Below are 25,267 nucleotides of genomic sequence, written 5' to 3'. Positions count from 1 at the left end.
CGGTGGCCAGGGAGCTCCACAATGCCATCAATCACCTGGACTTGATCTTTCCCCAAACATCCTTAGTGAGTCCTTTATTCAATTCTCACAAGATGGCTGCCGCCCCTCTTGCATAGTGTCCGCCTCCTGGGTTGGGGGAGGGTGAAGGACAGAGGTGCGCCACAGTGATAAGCACATCTGACTAACCAGACCGTGTCACATGATTGTCTGGGCTGCAATCAAACTTCAGAAACAGTTTTTCCTCCCAGCATACTGCCCTGAACAATATCAGATATATATGAACTTGAAGAAAAGGAGAGGACATTGGGTAGACTGTAGCAGTACATACTACACATACTACACACAGTATCAAGCTGCAGCCATTTTTGTTTCTTCAAAGAGAATATTATTTCAAATCATTTTCATATTTATGTTTTCAAGCAAAAGTTATGTATGCTCTACAAATTTCTTTCTAAGCTTTGATATTATTCTTGTTAAAAATCTGCTTTTCCTCTCATATATATAGTATAGATATTTAATCTTTTGGTTTCTTCTTATTTTAGATAAAGCGTTTCTGTCTCTAGCTTCAGACACTGTGGAACCAACTATACTTAATGCCACTAACACTAGCCTCACAATCAGATTACCTCTGGCCAAGACAAACCTCACATGGTATGGCATCACCAGCCCTACTCCAACATACCTGGTTTATTATGCAGAAGTTAATGACAGGAAAAACAGCTCTGACTTGAAATATAGAATTCTGGTAAGATTGGAACTAGTGGTCTTTGTCTTTTCACAAGATGTTCTTTTTTGATATAAAATTATGAGCCATAGTAAAGTATTTCCTATATGTTCTGAAATGGACTAGTACGCAACTTTTTTACAGCTAATGATTCATCAAAACATATTGTGTTCTAGTTTTCTTGACTGGGAGTAAGTTAAGCTTCAAGGAAGTATATCAACTCTTGCCCATTGATGGATTGCCATGGTAACCGTTTTCTGAGTGTCCAGAAAGAATTGGGTTTATTCCCCTCCCTGATTATCTAATTATCCTCAGAGAGAATGATAGAGAATTATTTTTGCAGCCTATGGAGCAGACTGAAGATTGAAGAGTAAGAAATGAACTGGACGGAAAGAACATTGCCTTATACCTCTTCTCCACAGCATTTATCTAATATAAAAATTGTACATTATATTTTGTCTTTTGTTTCCTATGTGCAGAGAAATATACTGCTATGCAGATACTGTTTTTAGTCATCATTGTATGCCTAGCACCTAGCACAGTTAGTGGCACTGTGTAGGCATTCACTAACTATTTCTTGAATGAATTGGCACTATTCATTCAATCATTGAAATGATGAAATGTATTCATTAGTATTTCAGTTGTCTTAGTGATGGAATCACATATATCCAATATTTTGCTTTGTGCTTGGCTTTATTTAGCCTGTTCAAAAGGTGAAATTGACTAACTGTTGGATGTTAAACACTATATGTTTTCCCATAAAGTGTATGTGATTTTTCATTCCTTCCTTAATTTTGTCTAATTAACCCTTTTTACACATTTCTAAAATAAGTAATTTCAGATAGATCATTTGGCTGGCCAAGATTGGACTTGGCAGCACTGGTCATGTCTGTTATTAAATTTAATCTATCTTATTGTCTTCTCATTGATTAACAGTGGTCTAAGACAGTGGTTCTCAACCTTGGCGGCACATCGAAGCTTTAAAAAAAAAAAACAAAACACTCTGCATCTAGGCTTCACCCCAGATAACTCAATCAGAATCTCTGGCAATAGAACCCAGGCATAGTAGTTTCTTAAAACTTCCCAGATGATAGCAAAGTATAAACAAAGTTGAGAACCATTGGTCTAAGGAAAGTCTTTTTACTCTCTTAAACTTTATTTCTAAGAGTGATTAGATACTATAAAAATATTTTATTGTATTCACATATGTGTCACATGTTTTCTACCATCTTGCTGAATTTCTAATACAATGTTAATGAAATAGTGTCCTCTTCTAGGAATTTAACTTCCCATGTGAAACAATTTATGCCACAAAACCAACTGAAGGCTACCAATCATTTGGTATTTATTCTTGGAAACATTGAACAACTCAGGTCTGGGTAGATTGGACAGTGGTATTACCATTAATAATCCAGAATTTAAAATAAATTAATTTTTTTGAGCCTTTAACTTTGTTCTCTCTTTGATTAAATAATTTCTACCAATTTGTATAAAATGTTAAAAATAAGATGTTGATTTTTAAAAAATCAATTACAGGAATTTCAGGACAGTATAGCTCTTATTGAAGATTTACAACCATTTTCAACATACATGATACAGATAGCTGTAAAAAATTATTATTCAGATCCTTTGGAACATTTACCACCAGGAAAAGAGATTTGGGGAAAAACTAAAAATGGAGGTAAGTTATGGGCTTGTTGTGGGTTTCTCAAGCAGAATATTGTGATATATGTGCTGTGTATGTTGATGTTTATTTTTTAAAATCTGAATGCGAAGTAATTTTAGTAAGCTTTTTTAAGTTTAATAAGAAAAATGTGTTTGTAGAAAACTTTGACCTGACCCTTACTCTAACCCCTGAAGCTAACTAATAATATTCTATTAAAATAGAAAGCAACTAGGAGGTAAAACATTGAAATCAATATTGTTTGACCAAGAAACACATTATTTGGTCTCACCACACAGTGTCACTTTTTCCAGATACTCATAGGTTTCTGTACATGTGGTGAGCTATAGAAAAACCAAGCTTTTTTTCTATGTGAATTTTACTGAGGCCTGAGCTGTAAAGTTATGCAACAGTATAGCCTTAAAGAAAATAGGTCTGAAAAGGTTTTCTAAGAGCTGATGAGGTGGTGATTATTATGAGGTGATGACGTTTATTTCAGATGTCTCTGATGATATTCACAAAACTCACCCAAATTGGGTTATTCCCCGTTGGCCATATCCTTGAGCTGGAGTCAGAGAATGATTTGGTCACTGGGCAAAAATAAGTGGGAGCCTTTTAGGCAGTCTGTTAACCTACGATTATAGAAGAGGCTGACTTTCTTTCTGGACATGTGTTATTTATTCTGCTCATACCACATGATTACTCTTCAACCCAAACTCCATTACTTCTTTCCATCTTTCAGTGCTATTGCAGCATCCTTTATCATTCCTTGCTATTTATTTCAGTACCAGAGGCAGTGCAGCTCATTAATACAACTGTGCGGTCAGACACCAGCCTCATTATATCTTGGAGAGAATCTCACAAGCCAAATGGACCTAAAGAATCAGTCCGTTATCAGTTGGCAATCTCACACCTGGCCCTAATTCCTGAAACTCCTCTAAGACAAAGTGAATTTCCAAATGGAAGGCTCACTCTCCTTGTTACTAGACTGTCTGGTGGAAATATTTATGTGTTAAAGGTACAGTGAGTTTACTAGGCACTCTTTATTGTCATTCTCAAGTGCAAGGCTCTCAAAAGGTTAAGCAATTGTTCTTTTTTACCAAAAGGTTCTTGCCTGCCACTCTGAGGAAATGTGGTGTACAGAGAGTCATCCTGTCACTGTGGAAATGTTTAACACACCAGAGAAACCTTATTCCTTGGTTCCAGAGAACACTAGTTTGCAATTTAATTGGAAGGCTCCATTGAATGTTAACCTCATCAGATTTTGGGTTGAGCTACAGAAGGTAGACTTTTAATGCAAGTCTTTATTTTATGATATAGAATAAATTGGAAAGGGCTTTTTCATGCATCTAGAACATGCTCATGTATAAATAAACAATATATTTGACAACTTTCATTGATTTATGTTTGGCATGCAGAAGCAGTGAGTTATCCAGACTAATTTCTGGTGGGAAGAATTCTCAGGGAGATTAATTTGCTTTTAAAAGGCTTTATGTAAAAGGGTATAAGTTATAGTGTACTAATTTTATAATATTTTACTTAGTTTAGATGTTAGCATGGTTCTCTGGTTTAAAGTCCATAGTAACTTGGTGTTTTCCATGAAAAAAAAATGAAAAAGAACTGAAGAAAGAAAAAACCAAAACCTTGTTTAGAAATGTTCTTTCATCATTTTAAGGGCTGTGCAGTAACAAGAGAGAAGTAAACCATAAAACCAGCTTATTCTAAAGTAGTTTTGTTGTTGGCTTGCAAACTTTAAATGATTCCTCATCCAAAACTTTTCACGCTTTAACCAATAAGGAAGCACCCACTGAATTTTAAGTCATCAATTAACCTGATTAATTCATTGATGGGGAAAGCCTACATTGACTTTTATGGTGATAAACTCAAAATTGATTATTAATTTTTTATAATTGCTACTTGTTATTTTAACTATTATATATGTGCATGTGCATGTTTGTATATTTCTGGGCCTATGTATGTGTACGTGTTTTTAAAGATTAATTAGAAATGTTTTGTTCAGTGGTAACTCAAAAGCAAATCAGTATAATCATGGCCTCACTACTTCTTAAAATGCAGTTATTCCCCAGGATGTTTAAAATTATTATGTAAGGTATTTTTGTGATCTTATACTTTATAGATAAAAACTATGAAAACTGTGGAACAACACTGAATATTGAGTTGATAAACTCAAAGACCATAGTTTCATTGGACTTTTTCTGTTGAGCATGTTTCTGATAATTTGTTGTCTATTTAAAAAATTGCCACCTTATAAAAATGCAGTTAAATTGGAGAAATTGGAGGAGTGCCTTTTAAAATAACATCTATTTTAGTAAACTTAATGCAGTTCAGTCTAAAACCAAGAGGAAGGATGTAAAGTTCATTTCCAAGATTATCAAAGAAATGAAATGGGAAAAGACTTCAGAGATAATTGACACCCTAGCCTCTCATTTTATTGATCAGAAATGGAGATCTAGACAGATGCCAGATGTCACCAGGCAGAGAAAAACCCCAGGGCTGACTTCTCCCTACAGCAGTCCTATTAGGGTGCTGTCCGTGGAAGGAATAGGAGTCATTAAGTCATCCATCCCACTCTTTCAAGTTTGGGGAGAAGGACAGCAGACAGAGATCTCCTGGTTGAATTCTCATGACTTTCATGCAGTGCTTTTTGTTTCTAAACTTCCTCTGTTTTCACATTTGCTCAACACAGGTTCCAGGCAGACCATTTAGAAAATCATGAAGCTGCAAATACAAGATAGAGTCATTTGTACATGAGTGGCCATCTACAAATACTAACTATGAGTACAGTAAAAGTCTGTGGTTCTGCAAGGGTTGATGAGTGCTATATAGTCAGAAAGTGCTGTCTCTTTTGAACAACTTGAGCCTATCTCACAATGACAGGACAGCTGGAAATAATACCGTAACTGCATACTGAAACTCTGAGGAGTGGGCAATAAAAGAGAATATTTGTCTCTTTAATTAGTAATGTTTTAGAAAGGAAACAGGAAGAAAATGATAAACTTTGTCTCTGTCATTTCTGTCAAAATTTCCTTATCTGAAAAATGAGGGAACTAGAGCACAAGATGAAGTTTCGATCTAGATCAGGGGTGTCCAATCTTTTGTCTTCCCTGGGCCATACTGAAACAACTGTCTTGGGCCACATGTAAAATATACTAACATTAACGATAGCTGATGAGCTAAACAAAATTCCCTAAAAAAATTCATAATGTTTAAAGAAAGTTTACGAATTTGGGTTGGGCTACATTCAAAGTCGTCCTGGGCCACATGTGGCCCACAAGCTGAAAGTTGGACAAGCTTGATCTAGATCTTAAATTCTATATAATACAAGAAACTCACAACAGTGTATAGAAGAAGAACATATTTAAAATGGGGAGGAAACAAATAATTTTGTTTGGTAATTTTTTTCACGGAAGTCCATTAAAATTGTGTTTTTCTCAGCTGTTCAGGCAAATCCCTAGCAGAACCATAAGTTTCTGAAGTTCCAAACTCTCAGACATCTTAGCTCACACTCCCCCTCACTCCCACCCACATAATTTGAAAATCCCTCTATGGTAGCCTTCACCCCTGCACTTGTTGGCTTCTGACAAATGGAAAGTCCTGACACCCTTGTGATTTACTGGGATATCCTGTGGCACCTCTCCAAGTTGGTGGTCTGCCCAGACACTCATTGCTGTGGTGATGCCAACACTCTACCATTTTCCAGCGGTAAGCTTGGTCAAACATCTCCTGACATTTCAAGGAGCTCTGATAATTTCTTGATGGTTTGGAATGTTGGGTTACCTAGACTATTCACTATAGGTAATTTCTCCACCAGATAATGAAGGAGACAGAACCATAAAGAGTTAAGACTTTTTTTTTTTGGCCAGGAGTTAATTTCTCTCTCTCTGAGGTTCACAGTAAATATTATGGATTCAATGCACCCGTTTCATTAAGCTATTAAGCTAAATGTCTCAGCAGGATTGATACATTTATGAGTTTAGTGCAGGCAATGTCCCTGACATCAGCAGTTCTATTTTTTTAAGTTTTCATTCCTTCCATTCCCTTATTCCCCTTTCTTACTGTACATAGTGGTCTACTGACTGAAAATGCTATAGAGAATCATTCCTTACTGAATAGAAAACTAATATAAAGTATCCATTTAATGAAATGATGTGACCTCATGAGTGTTAAGTGAAAAAGAAGATATAAATTAAGTTTATTTATGGAAACTGACCTTTTTATGAAACTCTACAGGGAAAATACACCAAGAACCCCTGACAAATTGCCATATCTTTTTGTCTTTTCCTATTTGTATGTTAAGAAATTATCATTTTCAAATAATGATACTAAGGATCCAAATATACAGATTTTTAGAAAGCAATGTCACAGAGCAAGAAATTTCAGATAGCTGCAATTAGAGGCCCAATATCTAAAGTGGAATGAAAACAAGATTTTCTGTATTTAGCTTCTAGCCTTGCTACTTAGTAGCTTCATAATAGTGGGCAAAATTTTTCTTCTTTTGGCTATGTAGGCTTCCAGTATATAAAAATAAAGAATTCTGTTTACATGTCTGAAGAGGGTGTTAGGAGGAAAAAAAAGTCTTAGTTTGTAAGTCACTGTGGACTTCTTTATCAAAATATGTAATCAAAACATGTAAAAATATTATTGCTATGAAATTAACAAATCCCTGGGATTTGAAATTACCATTGTTTTGATCCATCATTGTCCCACAGCTATGGATTTGCATTCTTAGCCATCCTGATTAAATGTAGGTATCTACCCTTTGGGATAACAAGAAGTCATAGCTCTGAATCTTCCTCGTTGACATATAGTCAGAGGTGTATGTCCCACTTTGAGCTTCTCCCATGAACAGTCATGTAAATCAGTTATATCTTGTCATAAAAAGCAAAACGACTATAGGCAGTGGGGTAATGTTTGGGATCATTCATAAAGAAGTTCTTATTCTTTAATAGAAAAGAATGCTTAAATTTTAACCACTTGCTATAAGCCTATACATTTTTGTGTTTTAAGAATATTTTCTTAGAGAAACAAAAATATTAATCGAGACTTCTTTTTCTAGTGGAAATACAATGAGTTTTACCATGTTAAAACTTCATGCAGCCAAGGTCCTGCTTATGTCTGTAATATCACAAATCTACAACCTTATACTTCATATAATGTCAGAGTAGTGGTGGTTTATAAGACGGGAGAAAATAGCACCTCACTTCCAGAAAGCTTTAAGACAAAAGGTGAGTACTAACATACTCAATACTCAGAAAACTCTGTGTTTCAGTTTTTTTCTTATCACTTATTTCACTAATCCTAGAGATATATGAAATTGTTCTTTAAAAGCAGTACATTATTATTTCTAGAACTTGAATGAAGAAATTCAGAAAATATAGGAGACCTTGCAGGCAGTAATGAAATAATACTGGCTGGGTCTGGCTGGATCCTGAACTGGGCAAAATTACTTCTTCTTTCAGTATCCTTATTTCATGTCTAGCTATGACAATTTTATGGTGATAACTATATGAAAATAGTGTTACTGAATGTTCAAAAAATATTTATTGGCTACTATATTTGAGATACTAGGATGAAAAATATAAGAAGTTCATTAAAAATTAACTAGTGTTCTGAAAGATATACCTTAACTCTGAGATGAGCTCTATAAGAATGGAAGGAACAAAGATCTAGAACCAAAAATACCATTTGACCTAGAAATTACATTACTAGTTACATACCCAAAGGAATATAAATCATTCTATTACAAAGATACATGCACACGTATGTTCACTGTAGCACTATTCACAATAATGAATCATTTGGAATCAACCCAAATGCCCGTCAACATTAGACTGGTTGAAGCAAATGTGGTACATATACACCATGGCATACTATGCAGCCATAAAAAGGAATGAGATAATGTTTTTTTGCAGGGATATGGATGAAGCTGGAAGCTATTAACCTCAGCAAACTAATTCAGGAACAGAAAACCAAACACTGCGTGTTCTCACTTACAAGTGGGAGCTGAACAATGAGAACGCATGGACACAAGGAGGGGAACAACACACACTGGGGCCTGTCAGGGGGAGGGGTGGGGGGATAGAGAGTATTAGGAAAAATAGCTAATGCATGCTGGGCTTAATACCTAGGTGATGGTTTGCTAGGTGTAGTAAACCACCATGGGACATGTTTACCCATGTAACAAACCTTCACGTCCTGCACATGTACCCCAGAACTAAAAATAAAAAAATTTGAAAAAAAGAATGGAGGGAAAATGCTCCAAAACTTATGATAGTTTTCTTTATTTTCATTTATCACTTATTTTGTTTCAAGTTGAGATATATTGTTAATCTTATCACCAATTCATCAAATCCATCACTAATAAAAACTTCAAATGCTCATTTAAAAATATGTAATCATATAAGAATATTTCTGAATATTTCTTTTTTTAAAATTTCTTCTTAAAAAATAAGATACATGTGCAGAACGTGCAGGGTTGTTACATAGGTATACATGTGCCATGGTGGTTTGCTGCACCTATTGACCTGTCCTCTAAGTTCCCTCCCCTCAGCTCCTATCCCTCAACAGGCCCTGGTGTGTGCTGTTCCCCTCTCTGTATCCATGTGTTCTCAATGTTCAACTCCCACTTATGAGTGAGAACACGTGCTGTTTTGTTCTCTGTTCCTGTGTTAGGTTGCTGAGGATGATGACTTCCAGCTTCATCCATGTCCCTGCAAAGGACATGATCTCATTCCTTCTTATGGCTGCATAGTATTCCATGGTGTATATGTACCACATTTTCTTTATCTGGTTTGTCATTGATGGATTGGCTTGGTTCCATGTCTTTGTTATTGTAAACAGTGCTGCAGTAAACATACATGTGCATGTGTCTTTATAGTAGAGTGATTTATACTCCTTTGGGTATGTACTCAATAATGAGATTACTGGGTCAAATGTTATTTCTGGTTCTAGATCCTTGAGGAATTGCCATACTGTCTTCCACAATGGTTGAAATAATTTACTTTACCACCAACAGTGTAAAAGTATTCCTATTTCTCCACACCCTCATCAGCATCTATTGTTTCCTGACTTTTTAATAGTTGCCATTCTGACTCGCGTGAGATGGTATCTCATTGTAGTTTTGATTTGTACTCCTCTGATGATCAGTGATGTTGAGCTTTTTTCATACGTTTATTGGCTGCATAAATCCCTTTTTGAGAAGTGTCTGTTCATATCTTTTGCCCACTTTTTGATGGGGTTGTCTGTCTTTTTCTTGTAAATATGTTTAAGTTCCTTGTACATTCTGGATATTAGCCCTTTGTCAGATGGATAGATTGCAAAATTTTTCTCCCATTCTGTAGGTTGTCTGTTCACTCTGATGATAGTTTCTTTTGCTGTACAGAAGCTCTTTAGTTTAGTTAGATCCCATTTGTCTATTTTGGCTTTTGTTGCCATTGCTTTTGGTGTTTTAGTCATGAAGTCTTTGCCCATGCCTATGTCCTGAATGGTATTGCCTAGGTTTTCTTCTAGGGTTTTTATGGTTTTGGTTTTTACATTTAAGTGTTTAATCCATCTTGAGTTAAATTTTGTATAAGGTTAAGGAATGGGCCCAGTTTCAGTTTTCTGCATATGGCTAGCCAGTTTTCCCAGCACCATTTACTAAATAGGAGATCCTTTCCTCATTGCTTGTTTTTGTTAGGTTTGTCAAAGATCAAATGGTTGTAGATGTGTGGTGTAATTTCTGAGGTCTCTGTTCTGCTCCATTGGTCTATATATTTGTTTTGGTACCAGTACCATGCTGTGTTACTGTAGCTTTGTAATATAGTTTGAAGTCAGGTAGCATGATGCCTCCAAGTTTGTTCTTTTTGCTTAGGATTGTCTTGGCTACATGGGGTCTTCTTTGATTCTATGTGAAATTTAAAATAACTTTTTCTAATTCTATGAAGAATGTCAACGGTAGTTAGATGAGAATAGCATTGAATCTATAAATTACTCTGGGCAGAATGGCCATTTTCATGATACTCATTATTCCTGTCCATGGGGATGGAATGTTTTTCCATTTATTTGTGTCCTTTCTTATTTCCTTGAGCAATGGTTTGTAGTTTTCCTTGAAGAGGTCCTTCACATCCCTTGTTAGCTGTATTCGTAGGTATTTTATTCTCTTTGTAGCTATTGTGAATGGGAGTTCATTCATGATTTGGCTCTCTGCTTGCCTATTGTTGGTGTAAAGGAATGCTTGTGATTTTTGCACATTGATTTTTTATCTTGAGACTTTGCTGAAGTTGCTTATCAGTTCAAGAAGTTTTTGGGCTGAGATGATGGGGTTTTCTAAATACAAAATCATGTCATCTGCAAACAGAGACAACTTGACTTCCTCTCTTCCTATTTGAATACCCTTTATTTCTTCCTCTTGCCTGATTGCCCTGACCAGAACTTCCAATACTATGTTGAATAGGAGTGGTGAGAGTGGACACCCTTGTCTTGTACTGGTTTTCAAAGGGAATTCTTCCAGGTTTTGCTCATTCAATATGATATTGGCTGTAGGTTTGTCATAAATAGTTCTTATTATTTAGAGATATGTTCCATAAAAACCTAGTTTATTGAGAGTTTTTAACATAAAGGGATGTTGATGTTGAATTTTATCAAAGGCCTTTTCTGCATCTATTCAGATAATCGTGTGATTTTTGTCTTTGGTTCTGTTTATGTGATGGATTACATTTATTGATTTGCATATGTTGAATCAGCCTTGCATCCCAGGGATGAAGCCGACTTGTTCGTGGTGGATATGTTTTTTGATGTGCTGCTGGATTCAGTTTGCCAGTATTTTATTGAGGATTTTTACATCAATGTTCATCAGGTATATTGGCCCGAAGTTTGTTGTTGTGTCTCTTCCCAGTTTTGGTATCAGGATGATGCTGGCTTCATAAAATGAGTTAGGAAGGAATTCCTCCTTTTCCATTGTTTGGAACAGTTTCAGAAGGAATGGTACCAGCTCCTCTTTGTATTTCTGGTAGAATTCAGCTGTGAATCCATCTGGTCCTGGGCTTTTTTTGGTTGGTAGTCTATTAATTACTGCCTCCATTCCAGAGCTTGCTACTGGTCTAGTCAGGGATTCAACTTCTTCCTGGTTTAGTCTTGGTGTATGCATCCAGGAATGTATCCATTTCTTCTAGATTTTCTAGTTTATTTGCATAGAAGAGTTTATAGTATTATCTGGTGGTATTTTGTATTTCTGTGGGGTCAGTGGTGATATCCCCTTTATCATTTTTTTTGTGTCTATTTGATTCTTCTCTGTCTCCTTCTTTATTTCTCTAGCTAGTGGTATATTTTGTTATTTATTTTATTTTTTAAAAAAAACGGCTCCTGGATGTGTTGATTTTTTTTGGAGGGCTTTTTGTGTCTTTGTCTCCTTCAGTTCTTCTCTGATCTTAGTTATTTCTTGTCTTCTGCCAGCTTTTGGATTAGTTTGCTCTTGCCTCTCTAGCTCTTTTAATTGTGATGTTAGGGTGACGATTTGAGATCTTTCTGGCTTTCTAATGTGGGCATTTAGTGCTATGAATTTTCCTCTTAACACTGCTTTAGTTGTGTCCCAGAGATTCTGGTACATTGTCTCTGTTCTCATTTGTTTCAAAGAACTTATTTATTTCTGCCTTAATTTCATTATTTACCCAGGAGCCATTCAGGAGCAAGTTGTTCAATTTCCAGGAAATTGTGTGGTTTTGAGTGAGTTTCTTAATCCTGGGTTCTAATTTGATTGCTCTGTGGTCTGAGAGACTGTTTGTTATGATTTCAGCTCTTTTGCATTTGCTGAGGAGTGTTTTACTTCCAATTATGTGGTAGATTTTAGAATAAGTACCATGTGGCACTCAGAAGAATGTATATTCTGTTGATTTGGGCTAGAAAGTTCTGTAGACATCTACTAGGTCCACTTGATCCAGAGCTAAGTTCAAGTCCTGAATATCCTTGTTAATTTTCTGTCTTGTTGATCTGTCTAATACTGGCAGTGGGGTGTTGAAGTTTCCCACTACTATTGCGTGGCAGTCTAAGTCTCTTTGTAGGTCTCTAAGAACTTACTTTGTGAGTCTGGGTGCTCTTGTATTGGGTGCATATATATTCAGAATAGTTAACTCTTCTTGTTGAATTGTTCCCTTTACCATTATATAATGCCCTTCTTTGTCTATTTTGATCTTTGTTGGTTTAAAGTCTGTTTTGTCAGAGACTAGGATTGCAACCCTCTTTTTTTTTTTTTTTGCTTTCCATATGCTTGGTAAATTTTCCTCAATCCCTTTATTTTGAGCCTGTGTGTGTCTTTGCATGTAAGATAGATCTCCTGAATACAACACACCAATGGGTCTTGACTCCTTATCCAATTTGCCAGTCTGTATCTTTTAATTGGGGCATTTAGCCCCTTTACATTTAAGGTAGGTATTGTTATGTGAGTTTGATCCTGTCACCATGATGCTATTTGGTTATTTTGCATGCTAGTTGATGCAGTTTCTTCATAGTGTCATTGATCTTTATAGTTTGGTGTGTTTTTGCAATGGCTGGTACCAGTTTTTCCTTTCCATATTTAGTGCTTATTTCAGGAGCTGTTGCAGGGCAGGCCTGGTGGTAACAAAATCCCTCAGCATTTGCTTGTCTGGAAAGGATTTTATTTCTCCTTCACTTATGAAGCTTAGTTTGGCTGGATATGAAATTCTGGGTTGAAAATTCTTTTCTTTAAGAATGTTGATGTTGGCCCCCAATCTCTTCTGGTTTGTAGGGTTTATGTTGAGAGGTCCACTGTTAGTCTGATGGGCGTCCCTTTGTAGGTAACCTGGCCTTTCTCTCTGGCTGCCCTTAACAGTTTTTACTTGATTTCAACCTTGGAGAATCTGATGATTATGTGTCTTGGGGTTGATCTTCTCGTGGAGTATCTTAATGGTGTTCTCTGTGTTTGCCGAATTTGCATGTTGGCCTGTCTTGCTAGGTTGGGGAAGTTCTCCTGGATAATATCCCGAAGGGTGTTTTCCCACGTGTTTCCATTTTCCCCATCTCCTCCTGGTACTCCAAGCTATCATAGGTTCAGTCTTTTTATGAAGTCTCATATTTCTTGGAGGCTTTATTCATTCCTTTTCATTCTTTTTTCTCTCTTCTTGTCAGCATGTCTTATTTCAATAAGGTAGTCTTCAAACTCTGATATCTTCTCTTCCACTTGGTCGATTCAGCTGTTGACACTTGTGTATGCTTCACGAAGTTCTTGTGCTGTGTTTTTCAGCCCCATCAGGCCATTTGTGTTCCTCTCTAAACTGATTATTCTAGTTAGCAATTCCTCCAACTTTTTATCAAGGTTCTTAGCTTCTTCGCATTGGGTTAGAACATACTCCTTTAGCTCATCATAGTTTTTTCTACCCATCTTGTGAAGCCTACTTCTGTCAGTTCATCCATCTGATCCTCCGCCCAGTTCTGCACCCTTAATGGAGACATTGTGATCATTTAGAGGAGAAGAGGCACTCTGGCCTTTTGGGTTTTCAGCATTTTTTTCATTGGTTCTTTCTCACCTTCGTGAGTTTGTCTAGTTGTGGTCTTTGAGGCTGCTGACCCTTGTATGGGTTTTTTGTGGGGGCCCTTGTTGTTGTTGTTGATGATGATGCTGTTGTTGTCACTTTCTGCTTATTTGTTTTTCTTTCAATAGTCACTTCCCTCTTCTGTAGGGCTGCTGCAGTTTGCTGGGGTTCACTTTAGGCCTTATTCATCTGATTTGCTCCCACGCCTGGATATGTAACTCAAGGAGGCTGGAGAGCAGCAAAAATGGGTGTCTGCTCCTTCTTCTGGGACCTCTGACTTCAAGGGGCACCAACCTGATGCCAGTAGGATCGCTCCTGTATAGGGTGTCCTGACAATCCCTGTTGGAGGGTCTCACCCAGTTGGGTGGCACCAGGAGGAGGACCCATTTAACGAAGCACTTTGTCCCCTGGTGGAGAGGGTGTGTTTTGCTGTGGGAAAGCCCACTTGTCTGGGCTTCCCAGATTCCTCAGAACTACCAGGAGGAGAGGCTAAGTCTGTTGGTCCGCAGAGACTGCAGCCACCCCTCCCCCTAGGGGCTCAGGCCCAGGGAGATCTGAATTCTGTCCCTGAGCCTCTGGCTGCAGTTACTGAAGATTCTGCAGGGAAGCCCCACCCACTGAGGAAGGATGGGTGAGGGTTAGACCTGAAGAGGCACTCTGGCCGCTGACTACCACAGCTGGTGTGTTGGGTTGTGGCGACAAGTCTTGGGACCAAGCTGTCCAGCCTCGCTGGCTCCCGCAGGGGAAAAGCACAGCCTGGAGCTATAGAAATGGATGCTGCATTTCTCCCCGCCGCCCAGGGAGATTAGCGTGTTAGGCAGTTGGGAGTCCCAGTGCTGGCTGCTGCCCCTCCCTCAAGGAGCTCAAAGGGCTTAGACAGCAGGCAGCAGAAGCCTGTGCTGGTCACCCCTCCCCCAGGGAGTTCAGTAAGCTTAGGCAGATTCCAGCTGAGAGGCCATAAGAATCTGTACATTCTAGGGTTGGGATGCTAGGCCTCGGTGGCATGGGATCGAGAGTGGGATCTTCCAATCCATGAGTTGCACAGTTCTTTGGAAAAGCAATTTCCCCGGCTGGGTAGCCTGCTCGCTCGCCGCTCCCCTTGGCTGGAGGGGAGGGGGTTCCCCTTCCCCGTGTGGTTCTCAGGTGGGCTCACTGCTCTTCCTTCTCTCTGTGGGTCACGCCAGCCTTCTAGTCAATTTTGATGAGCGAATCTAGATACCTTGCCGGTGAAGGACTCACACACTTATTATGGTTTTTTTCAATAGGAACCTCTGAACGGAGTTGCTTCTAGTCGGCCATCTTGGCCCCGCCTCTGAATATTTCTTTAATGTTGTCTTTCCTCTTAATATATTCTGTAGAAAGATTTCAGTGCAGAAGATTAATACTTCAAACATATCAACCAATATTTTCTTTTTTTCCCTAAAGCTGGAGTCCCAAATAAACCAGGCATTCCCAAATTACTAGAAGGGAGTAAAAATTCAATACAGTGGGAGAAAGCTGAAGATAATGGATGTAGAATTACATACTATATCCTTGAGATAAGGTATGTGTGTTTGCAAAGTACTTGTAAATGACAAAGAACTAAGAAGATAATTATAAAGTAATCAAAAGTAACACTATTTATGCAAATGTATTTATATACAAACACAAAGATCTTTAGTTAAAGGACTCACATGCATCATTACGTTCTTTGCTCAATTCCTAGACGTTGGTCTTGGCATGCTAATTATAAACAGATCACGTCATTCTCAGAAATCTCTAACTGCTCATTGACACTTTATGGAAATTGTTTGATCATAGGCTCATGCAACCAGTATTAACTTAATATCAGTTTTGTTTAAAAAGCTTAGCTGATGTTTAATGTTAAATAATGATGGCATGTAAATTCCTGATGATAATTTGCTTTAGCAAGGTGAATACTCTCTAGTGAGAAATGGTGATGAAGTAGATATTTCTCATACTGTAAAATTAGGTCAGGTTCTGAAATGGTCTGAAGTGTAGAGGTCACACAGGATTCTGTATTCATTGGGAAGATTACAGTTTGCAATGTGTTCCCAGGGACTGAAAACACACCGTCGATGAAAACCAGCCACTGATGAACAGCCTCAGACCTGGCCAGTACGGGGAGCACGTGAACCATAACTGGCTTAGAAGGACTGATTTCATGCCAACTTGAGGGGAGAATTCCAAATTCCAAAGACACTCCTCTCACAGGACTATGAAACCATCTTTTAAGAAGTTCCAAGGACAAAAGTCACTTCCATAATTATAGTCCTGGCAACTTGATCTTTAGATCTATTTTTGCTTCATCTGGCTCTGGCATTCCCATAACCTTAAAAAATGTTCCTGTTCATACTAGAGAATTCCCTTGGCCCTTATTTCTAATTGAAACCTCCTTGAAGTTTCTGTTGCTGCTTTTCATGCAGAGTGAAATACATTCTAACCTGCAGAACTGTCTTGGTGGTTTGTGACTGTAATGATGTTCATCAATCAGGTCACACATCAGGTTTTTGCTAGGACCTCTTTTGTGTGTTACCCTGAGTAACACCTTAAGTGCTACTAAAATGACTCCATCTAAATACTTTGCATACTCCTTGCTCCAGGTCTCCACTGTCAGGACATAGACTATAGGATGACTGAATGATTGTTGTAACTTCAGTGTCTCAAAATAAGTCCTTCAGTCAGGACACTCTAGTTAGACTCTGTGTACTCACTGATGGGGTAGTGGAAGTGCAAAGTGCATGAACTTGGGAGTTGAACAAGCCTTATTAGTTTCCAAGGGTTGCCACAATAAAGGACCACCAACTGGGTGGCTTGAAACAGTAGACATTTATTCTTACAGCTCTAGAGGTTAGAAGTCTGAAACCAACGTATCAGCGGGACTGCTTGTTCTGATGGTTCTAGGGCAGAATCCATCTTTGCCTCTTAGCTTCTGGCGTTTACTGGCAGTCCTTGGTATTCCTTGGCTCGTAGGTGCATCACTGTCATCATCACCTCCTGCATCACAAGGTGTTCTCTGTGTCCAAATTTCCCTCTTCTTATGCAAGTGCCAGTCATTGGATTAGGGTCCACCCTAAACTACTATGACCTCATCTTAACTTGATTACATTTGTCAAGATCTTATTTCTAAACAAGGTCACATTAAAATATTCTGAGTGGGTATGAATTTTGGGAGGACATGACTCAATCCAGTACACAAACCATGTTTAAATGCTTGTTCTTTTCCTTTTTTGAACTTAAGTTTCCTCATCTGTAAAATGGAGATGATAATATCTATCTTATCTCTTTAAGCTGTTGTGGACTCAGTGAATTAAAACAACGTTATGTAAAGCCCCAGTACAGTATGTTGTAAATAGAAGGTGCTCAACCAACATCAGAATTCTTCTTTCTTTTCTCAATGGCCATTGTGTAGAGCCACTTCACAAATTCTCAAGGGCCTCTTTCTTTTGGATCAGAGTTGTTTGGTTAAACAGTGAAATGGCCAATGCTAAAGGTGAGACGTCACAAAATGTGTAAAAACACTCTGTCCTAATGCTTTGCTCAGGATGGTCCTTAAAGGGACCCTCAGCTCCGGGGAACAGCTGTGACCAACTCTGCTGCCCTGCTGCTCCCGATGTTCTTACCCTTTCCCTGCCTCTTATGAGGGCCAGCCTTCACTCTCTGTTGGTCTTCAGAAGGATGAGTCAATTAGCAGGAATAGAACCAGATTCTCCCACATATCCCTAAGCTTACCGTGGATTGGCACCAAGTCCTAAAACTATTGCGGTCTGAAAAGTTTCAGACCTGAAATATTCTTCATTGTTAGAGAAGACATAATGGAAGACCTTGAGCTTGCCTTTGATGATTCTGTAAAAAGTCATTCCAGTTATGTCTTTTGAACCCAGCCCTTGTGCTCCTTCCATGTTTCAAATGAAAAACAATTGGATTGACTTTGAGGTGGAATGTAGGTCAATACAAAAGGAAGCAACGAGCCTCAGAATCTCAGATATAATGATAACTTTGGTAGCTGAACTGTCACACTTTCCTTATCAATTTTGTATTCTGTATTTTATTGAAATATGGCATAAGTAAACTACAAATAATGTAAAAGACTGAAAATTGAGAAAATGGAAACTTCCCAGTTAAAAATCATGGAATAATTGTCTTATAGGTTTGGAATTCTGGAGAAAGTTTACCCATGCTGTTAGTATAGGAAAAAGGTACTCAGCTCTCTCTTCACCACTGATTACTCACAGTTTTCTTGGTGGGCTGAGTTAATTGGCTCCATGCCTCACTAGGATCACTATAAAACCATGCTGTTAGCATCTGTGTTGCCAGATTATGGGAGAGGAATGAGGTCAAGGGTAAATTGTGCCAAAGGACACTCTCTGGCGTTCAGTCACTAAGAAGATCTATGAACAACTAGAAATAACAGGTATATTGTCATGTATATTTTCTGTATTTATTATTTTTTGCAGAAAGAGCACTTCAAATAATTTACAGAACCAGAATTTAAGGTGGAAGATGACATTTAATGGATCCTGCAGTAGTGTTTGCACATGGAAGTCCAAAAACCTGAAAGGAATATTTCAGTTCAGAGTAGTAGCTGCAAATAATCTAGGGTTTGGTGAATATAGTGGAATCAGTGAGAATATTATATTAGTTGGAGGTATGTTACCATGTCTGTCTACACACTAGCTTATTACCTAAAGGTTCAGTAATAAATATCAGTACATTCTTAACATTAGCAATAGATAATGGTGACTATATATATATATATATATATATATATATATATATAATCTTATTATCCAAACTATTAAACTATTCCATTCATGTGATGTGATCTTTCTAAAACATCATTATCATCATGTCATTTTTCTCCCCAATAATAATCAGCCACCCCCTTAATTCCTACCACATCAATTCCATGCTCCTAATTAGGCTTCCAAGGCTGTTCACAATCTGTTCTATCCAGCCATATAATTCTATTCACATTATACCAGCCTTATGACCACTCCTACATTATACATAACAGGCCTAAGACCTTTGTTTCTTCCCCAATATCTACCTCTTCCACTGTGTATTTTATTTTAGTTTATGATATATTGTCTTTCTAATCACATAGGCAGGAAATCTCAGTGCCATATGTGATTTTTCCCTCTACTCAGTAATCAGGTCCTGTTGATTTTACCATCTTGATTTTTCTCTGATGAGTTCTCATCTTCCTCTTTCCACCTTGGCTTTCCTAATTTAAGGTATCATTTCTTGCCTGTGCCCTTGACTTACGCATACTGCTGACAGTTAAATTTAGTTGAAGCACAGGCTGGATTACTTAATCCCTCTCTGAAATACCCACAATGGCTCTCCATTTACTGCTTTCAGAATCAGCTACAAACTTCTTTGTGGCATGTGAGGTCTTCTGTAATTTATCCTCCAATTGTGGTTTATCTTTTCCAATATTTATGTCTGTGCTGTAGCCATATCAGACCAGTAAAAAGTTTTTATGTCACTTAGTCTTTGGCCCTGTGTTTGCCTCAGCCTAGAATACAGGTCCCCACTACCTACCCTGTGCCCCTTAGCTGTGATTTCCTATTATTTATTTTCTGCCAATTGAAATTCTTCTCATCCTTCAAGACTTAAATGAACTCATCATAATGCTTACCTGATGCTCCTTAGTCAAATGAATTATTGCATTTTATACACTCACATGCTATATAAAACTTACATGATTCTTGTTTATATTATAGTTAGTTATCTAGTTAGTTGTGTACAGAAGTTTGCTACCCAGCTCAGCAAACTTTTTCTGAAAAGAACCAAATAGTAAATATGTTAGACTTTGCAGGCTACATGTGATCTCTGTAGCATGTTCTTCTTTTCTTCTTTTTCTGTTCTCTTTTTCCTTCTCCTTCTTTTTAAAAATAACACTTTACAAAGGTAAAACTTATTCATAGCTAATAGGGGGTACAAAATCAGGCTATAGCCAGATTTGGTCCTCATGCCATAGTTTGCCAGACTCTGGCCTACGTGTTTGTTTCCTCTACACAACTGAAACTACCTAAGAGAAATTACCATGTTTATTCCTCAGTTTAATATCCATGAAATTAAATATGTATGAAGATATTATACAAAATAATAATGCCAACTATTTAGTATCCAAAGACTGAGATTTCTTGGTCCTAAATTTATTAAAAAGATATATATGTTTCCTAAGTCATTTTAAAGTAGAAGATTGAGTGGATATATTCCAGTGGTTTGTTGCTCTCTGCAAAAAAAAGCAAAAACACCTTGCTTTTGATTTCACATGGCATAAACACTGTCTGTATGGATGCTTTCAAGCTACCAACGGTCTAACAACTGGCTTGCAAAAATCCAGTAGTAGCTAGCTCTGCTATATTACTCTGTGTGCTTAGGTAGAGCTGGGGCAACTTAGCTTTTATCTATGAATTAATTTCTTTTTCTGATTTATATTATTAGATGATTTTTGGATACCAGAAACAAGTTTCATACTTACTATTATAGTTGGAATATTTCTGGTTGTTACAATCCCACTGACCTTTGGTAAGTATAATAGAATTTTTAAAATAGGCAACAAACTGTTTACTTAATCATACCTGATTGATTTATCTCTTAGTTGATCTAATCTCCCACATGAAATATTGCCTGATTAAGTTAATAAAATTTACATTGTTACCTTTGGCTATACATTTATAACCACTAACTTCTGTGAATTGTTTTCTGATCTAGGCATAACTATTTTATGGAAAATATACATGTACATTTCATGTTATACTTTAGATAAAACTACTTGCAAGGGCACCAACTTTTAGGTTTCTTTAAAACAGTATTTATTTCTGATTGGCTGCATACAAATGTTTTGTGGCTTATGGTTTAAAATAAATAAAAGAAAAATAACCCTGGGTACAGAAAAAAGTATAGAATTAATGGGAGGCCAGTGACAATCTTTGATTGGGATAGTTTTGGTTTCTAAGCAGACAGGCTGGTTTGGAATGAGTAGGGCCTCTTTTGCAGAAGATCCATTTCTGGCTTGTGGGATCGACTCTTGCTTTCAGACATCTGATCTGCTTATTTCAAATCCCTGCTCATTTATAAATGACCAGGAAGGCAGAAAAATTAGGTTAGGTAGATAGAAAGCTATTTTTTTTCTAAGAAGATTTACTTTAATGATAATAAAATGCAGTAAAAACCTCAAAGGGAATGGTCAAGTACTGATTGGACTTTTAGAGTTATCACAGTGATCATACATTCTTGTTTATTTCTGTTTCAGCACAAATAATAATAGCACTTTCTTTCATTCCCCAAACTGTCCGAGTTTGCTTATAAGATATATGGACCCCTATCTATTGCTAATATTGAGAGTCCCCAACACACTGAATCATTAAAAGAAGGGCATGATTCTTACCAGAAAAGAACACTCAAACACATATTAAGAAAGTTGTGGCTTGTTTTGTTCACAAGTAGGGGTAAGTTACAAGGGAAAGTTGATGGAAAAGTCACAAACATAAAGTTGAACTCTCAGGATAAAGACAGCCAACACTTTACTGTGTTCTAAGTCTTTATTCTTTCTGCAAAGTGATTGGAGTCACAATCTTTATGAGAGCACTTTGAAGCTCGATTTGAGATTTTTTTCAAAGATTCCACCCAGACAATATGTGAAACTCCTTCAGCAAACTTGGAAAGCTAAAAATTTCAGCTGACCCTGCCAGGATTTTAACCTGTGGTTCCAGAGAGTCTAAGTATTGCACAGCTGATGTTTGTGCCACTAAGCCAGCCCCTCCAGACTTACGCATATGACTGCAGTATATTTGGCAGTTGGCATATAGGCTTGACTGCTTGTCTGCTTTCCTACTGGGAAGGAGAATTACATGAAGAATCCTTCAGCTGACCTTTGCTTGCTTTCTTGTACATCACCATTGTTTAAACCCATAACTCTAGTGGATGAACATGAGATAATTTCAGACAACCTATTGTGCTTCCAAGACATCCTATGGATATCTGACTTTCTCAGGACTTAAAGGTCTTTATTCTGTTTGAAATTCACGAATTTTTGAGTCTAGCTAAGCTAATTCGGTTCTTTGCTTTTAGCAGCAGTGCATGTGGTTTTACTAGTAAGAGCGTGTGTGTGCATGAGAAAAGATTGAGTAATTAAAATAACAAAACAGTCACAATTATTTTAAAATTTGTATTGTGCTGAGGGCACTCATCAGTTATAAACATAAAATTAGACAATTTTTAAAATGAGTGTTGACAGCCTTTGCTTCTGAGCAGTCATATCTAATGCATAACATTAGCCTTCTGCTGGGAGTAGGGGAAAATGTAAACCTGTAAAATACAACTGCTGACCTCAGGAGCTTGCCATTTAATGAGGGAGTTAAGACATGCCTGTGTGGGAAGACAAATAGCAAGATATGTGTTAAATAATAACAAAAGACAAAAATAGATGAAATAAGTAAGACAGTGCATAGGATAAGCACTCACAGAGAGGCGCAATTAGTCTTTCAAGTTCAGATATGAAAGATTAGTAGAGGTTGCTGAGGTTTCAGAAGGCATCATTGAGGATGTGGGCTTACATTGGGCCTTTAAAAGTGAAGCGAGGTGGTGAGAACATTTCAAGTTGGAAAAATTAATTTAGCAAAAGGTACTTGTGATCTTTCACTGTGTAGCCCTTCAAATTGAATTTCATGTGAATAAAACTCTAACTTCTTGAACATAGAAGCTACTGTGAAATTAAGTTCAAATTTTAATGATCATCTCTCAAAGCATGCTTGCTGCTTTCAACTTCTGAGCCAATAGTCCAGTACAGATGACAATCCTATTGACATAATTGTATTTTAATATTAAAAAAATTTTATTATTATAAAACTAATACTGCTTATTATATAAGGAAGACAGTACAAATTACTCATGATTCTACAACTAGGGCAGACCACTGCTAACATTTGGTAAGCTTCGTTCCAATACTTTTTCTACATATTCGAGTATGTGTATATGAACAACAATGATAAACACTCTTGTACTCTGCAAAAAAAAAAAAAAAAAAAATTGCCATTATACTGAAAGCATTTTCTTTTCTACTGAGGAATATAACCTGGATGTGACTGAACTCAAAAATGAATTTGTTTCACTAATAATTATGTTTGTTTTGGTTTATTTTGACTCGTTTATGGGTGATTTTGACAAATAAGTTTTAATATTAAGATACTTTAATTTGTTTATAACAACAGTAAGAAATACATTAAATTTTAAGAAGTGAGATTAAAAATGGTGTAGTATGATTTGTGTACTTATATATGGCTTTTTACCTGGATTTAATTAGTTTTTTATAAGATATTTTAAAATCAAATTATGAAAACTTCTATAACTATTCTACTGATAGTGTTCTTGCATAAAAACACTTCAAATGCACTGTTAACATTTCCTAAAGGAAAAAAGAAGCAATATTTTATTTTGTAAATTATGTCATTTTTTCCTTTATAGTCTGGCATAGAAGATTAAAGAATCAAAAAAGTGCCAAGGAAGGGGTGACAGTGCTTATAAACGAAGACAAAGAGTTGGCTGAGCTGCGAGGTCTGGCAGCCGGAGTAGGCCTGGCTAATGCCTGCTATGCAATACAGTATGTAGCTTTGGCCATCATTATGGAGCACCTAGGCAAAGGGTGGGCAACAGTAAGGAGAGTGCCTATGAATTCCGCATTGCCCAAGACAGTCATGGTTTATACCAGTTTTTCTGGCATAATTATTAATAACTTCCTCTTCCACTCTCAAATGTGACCTGGGATGGATGGAAAATTATGTGGTTTTAAGAAAAATACAGAAAAATCCATTAGTTTCCAGTATTTTGTCATGTAGCTCAAAAACAAATGAAAGAAGGAGAAAAATATTACATTGAAGAGAATAGATGGTAACATGGTTGGTTGACCTGGAGGCAGTGTTTGAGAGGAGAGGAGTTTTGAGAGCCTTGTGTTACGTGGTCAGCCTTAAGTCAATCTTACTCCATTTCAGAAGTTGTGTGATGATTGCCCACAAAACCTTCTTAAGATAGATGAGTTTTGAACTTTTGTTGCCGTCATAATTAAGGAAAATATTCAAGTGTCTTATGCAAAGGTTCATTATATTAGGATCTATGCAAAAAGGAATTAAATGATCATAGGCCTTGCTTTCAGAAATTTATAATGCAAGGTGTAAAAACAAAGGATTTGAAGTAGACACAAAGGTGATCTAAATCAGCTGTTTAGAGGTGACTTTCCTTTGAGCAAATACTCAGCATATCTGCTACTCAAGATTCTCTATTAAAAATTGAAAGCATTTTTAACATAGCAGCATTTTCCCCCCTTGTAGTATTCCAAGTGAGAAACTTGGCTTTTTAAAGTTAACCTTATGGTGATGGGGTTGATTTTTTTGGTCATAGTAAATTTTGTTTTACGTAAGATGTCACATGTGTGAAATAGCTAAGAGAAAAGCTTATAAACCCAGATGCATTTATTACTAATTTGCAGTAGCTTTTTATACAAATTGGCAATCTGAAGAAGTTAATACCTACTAACTTTGACTCAACAAGCTACAATAAAAGTGTTGAGGCAATGCATACACATATATATTTTTATCAAAATTAAGGTGCCTAGAAGTGGACCATCATGCTCTGTCTGGGTAAAAGGTTGTAGAATAGTAAAGTAAAGTAATTAGGAACCCAAAGTTCCACATCACCGTGTCACATAAAACACACAATACTGCAAAGCCATGAGATATTTCTTTCTCTCTCAAACACAAATACCAATACCAACACAAACTTGTACACCCTATATATGTGGAGGGTGGGGAGACAAAAATGTTGCTATTTTACAGTACTCTTCCAACCCAAGAGGAGATTGAAAATCTTCCTGCCTTCCCTCGGGAAAAACTGACTCTGCGTCTCTTGCTGGGAAGTGGAGCCTTTGGAGAAGTGTATGAAGGAACAGCAGTGGACATCTTAGGAGTTGGAAGTGGAGAAATCAAAGTAGCAGTGAAGGTAATGTGAATCTTCGAACTCCTTGACACATTATATCACCATATCTACAAAGATTGACCTGGATATAATTATAATAAAAGTTGAGTGCTCTTTGTTGAAAAGAGGACTGGTTGAATGTCGAAGCCTATCCATAGCTACAGAAATCACATTTAAAAAAAATCATTTCCTACATAGGAACATTGTTTGTAATCAACAATCTCCAGGGTTTGCATTACCTCTAAGGCTACTAATTAGCTAAGACCTATCAGGCAATCATTTTTCTTCAAACATGCCATAAGAGAACTGGAGTTGTGAAACACATTCTTAAGGTACTAGACCAAGGGTCAGCAA

The 25,267-nt window shown here is 37.1% G+C and overlaps 1 protein-coding gene across 14 annotated transcripts in view; it reads left to right on the top strand.

Moving 5' to 3' along the window:
- The window catches only part of ROS1 (ROS proto-oncogene 1, receptor tyrosine kinase), a 138,590-nt gene that overhangs the window by 81,138 nt on the left and 32,185 nt on the right, over positions 1–25,267 (top strand). For 11 of the 14 annotated variants that reach the window (XM_017011173.2, XM_017011172.2, NM_002944.3 and 8 more), the window contains 10 exons: positions 543–745; positions 2,261–2,405; positions 3,173–3,405; positions 3,494–3,670; positions 7,465–7,633; positions 15,359–15,476; positions 18,391–18,581; positions 20,390–20,473; positions 23,411–23,546; positions 24,775–24,937. In XM_017011173.2, the coding sequence (XP_016866662.1) occupies positions 543–745; positions 2,261–2,405; positions 3,173–3,405; positions 3,494–3,670; positions 7,465–7,633; positions 15,359–15,476; positions 18,391–18,581; positions 20,390–20,473; positions 23,411–23,546; positions 24,775–24,937 (1,619 nt within the window). Of the gene's footprint in view, positions 1–542; positions 746–2,260; positions 2,406–3,172; positions 3,406–3,493; positions 3,671–5,094; positions 7,634–15,358; positions 15,477–15,991; positions 16,383–18,390; positions 18,582–20,389; positions 20,474–23,410; positions 23,547–24,774; positions 24,938–25,267 lie in introns of those variants that run through there. The other 3 variants (XM_011536055.3, XM_011536056.3, XM_011536057.4) reach the window with 3 other exon arrangements.

Source organism: Homo sapiens, chromosome 6 (assembly GCF_000001405.40).
Source record: "Homo sapiens chromosome 6, GRCh38.p14 Primary Assembly".
NCBI lineage: Eukaryota > Metazoa > Chordata > Mammalia > Primates > Hominidae > Homo > Homo sapiens.
The sequence above is the reverse complement of the archived record's forward strand: the minus strand, read 5'-3'. Positions and strand labels throughout refer to the sequence as shown.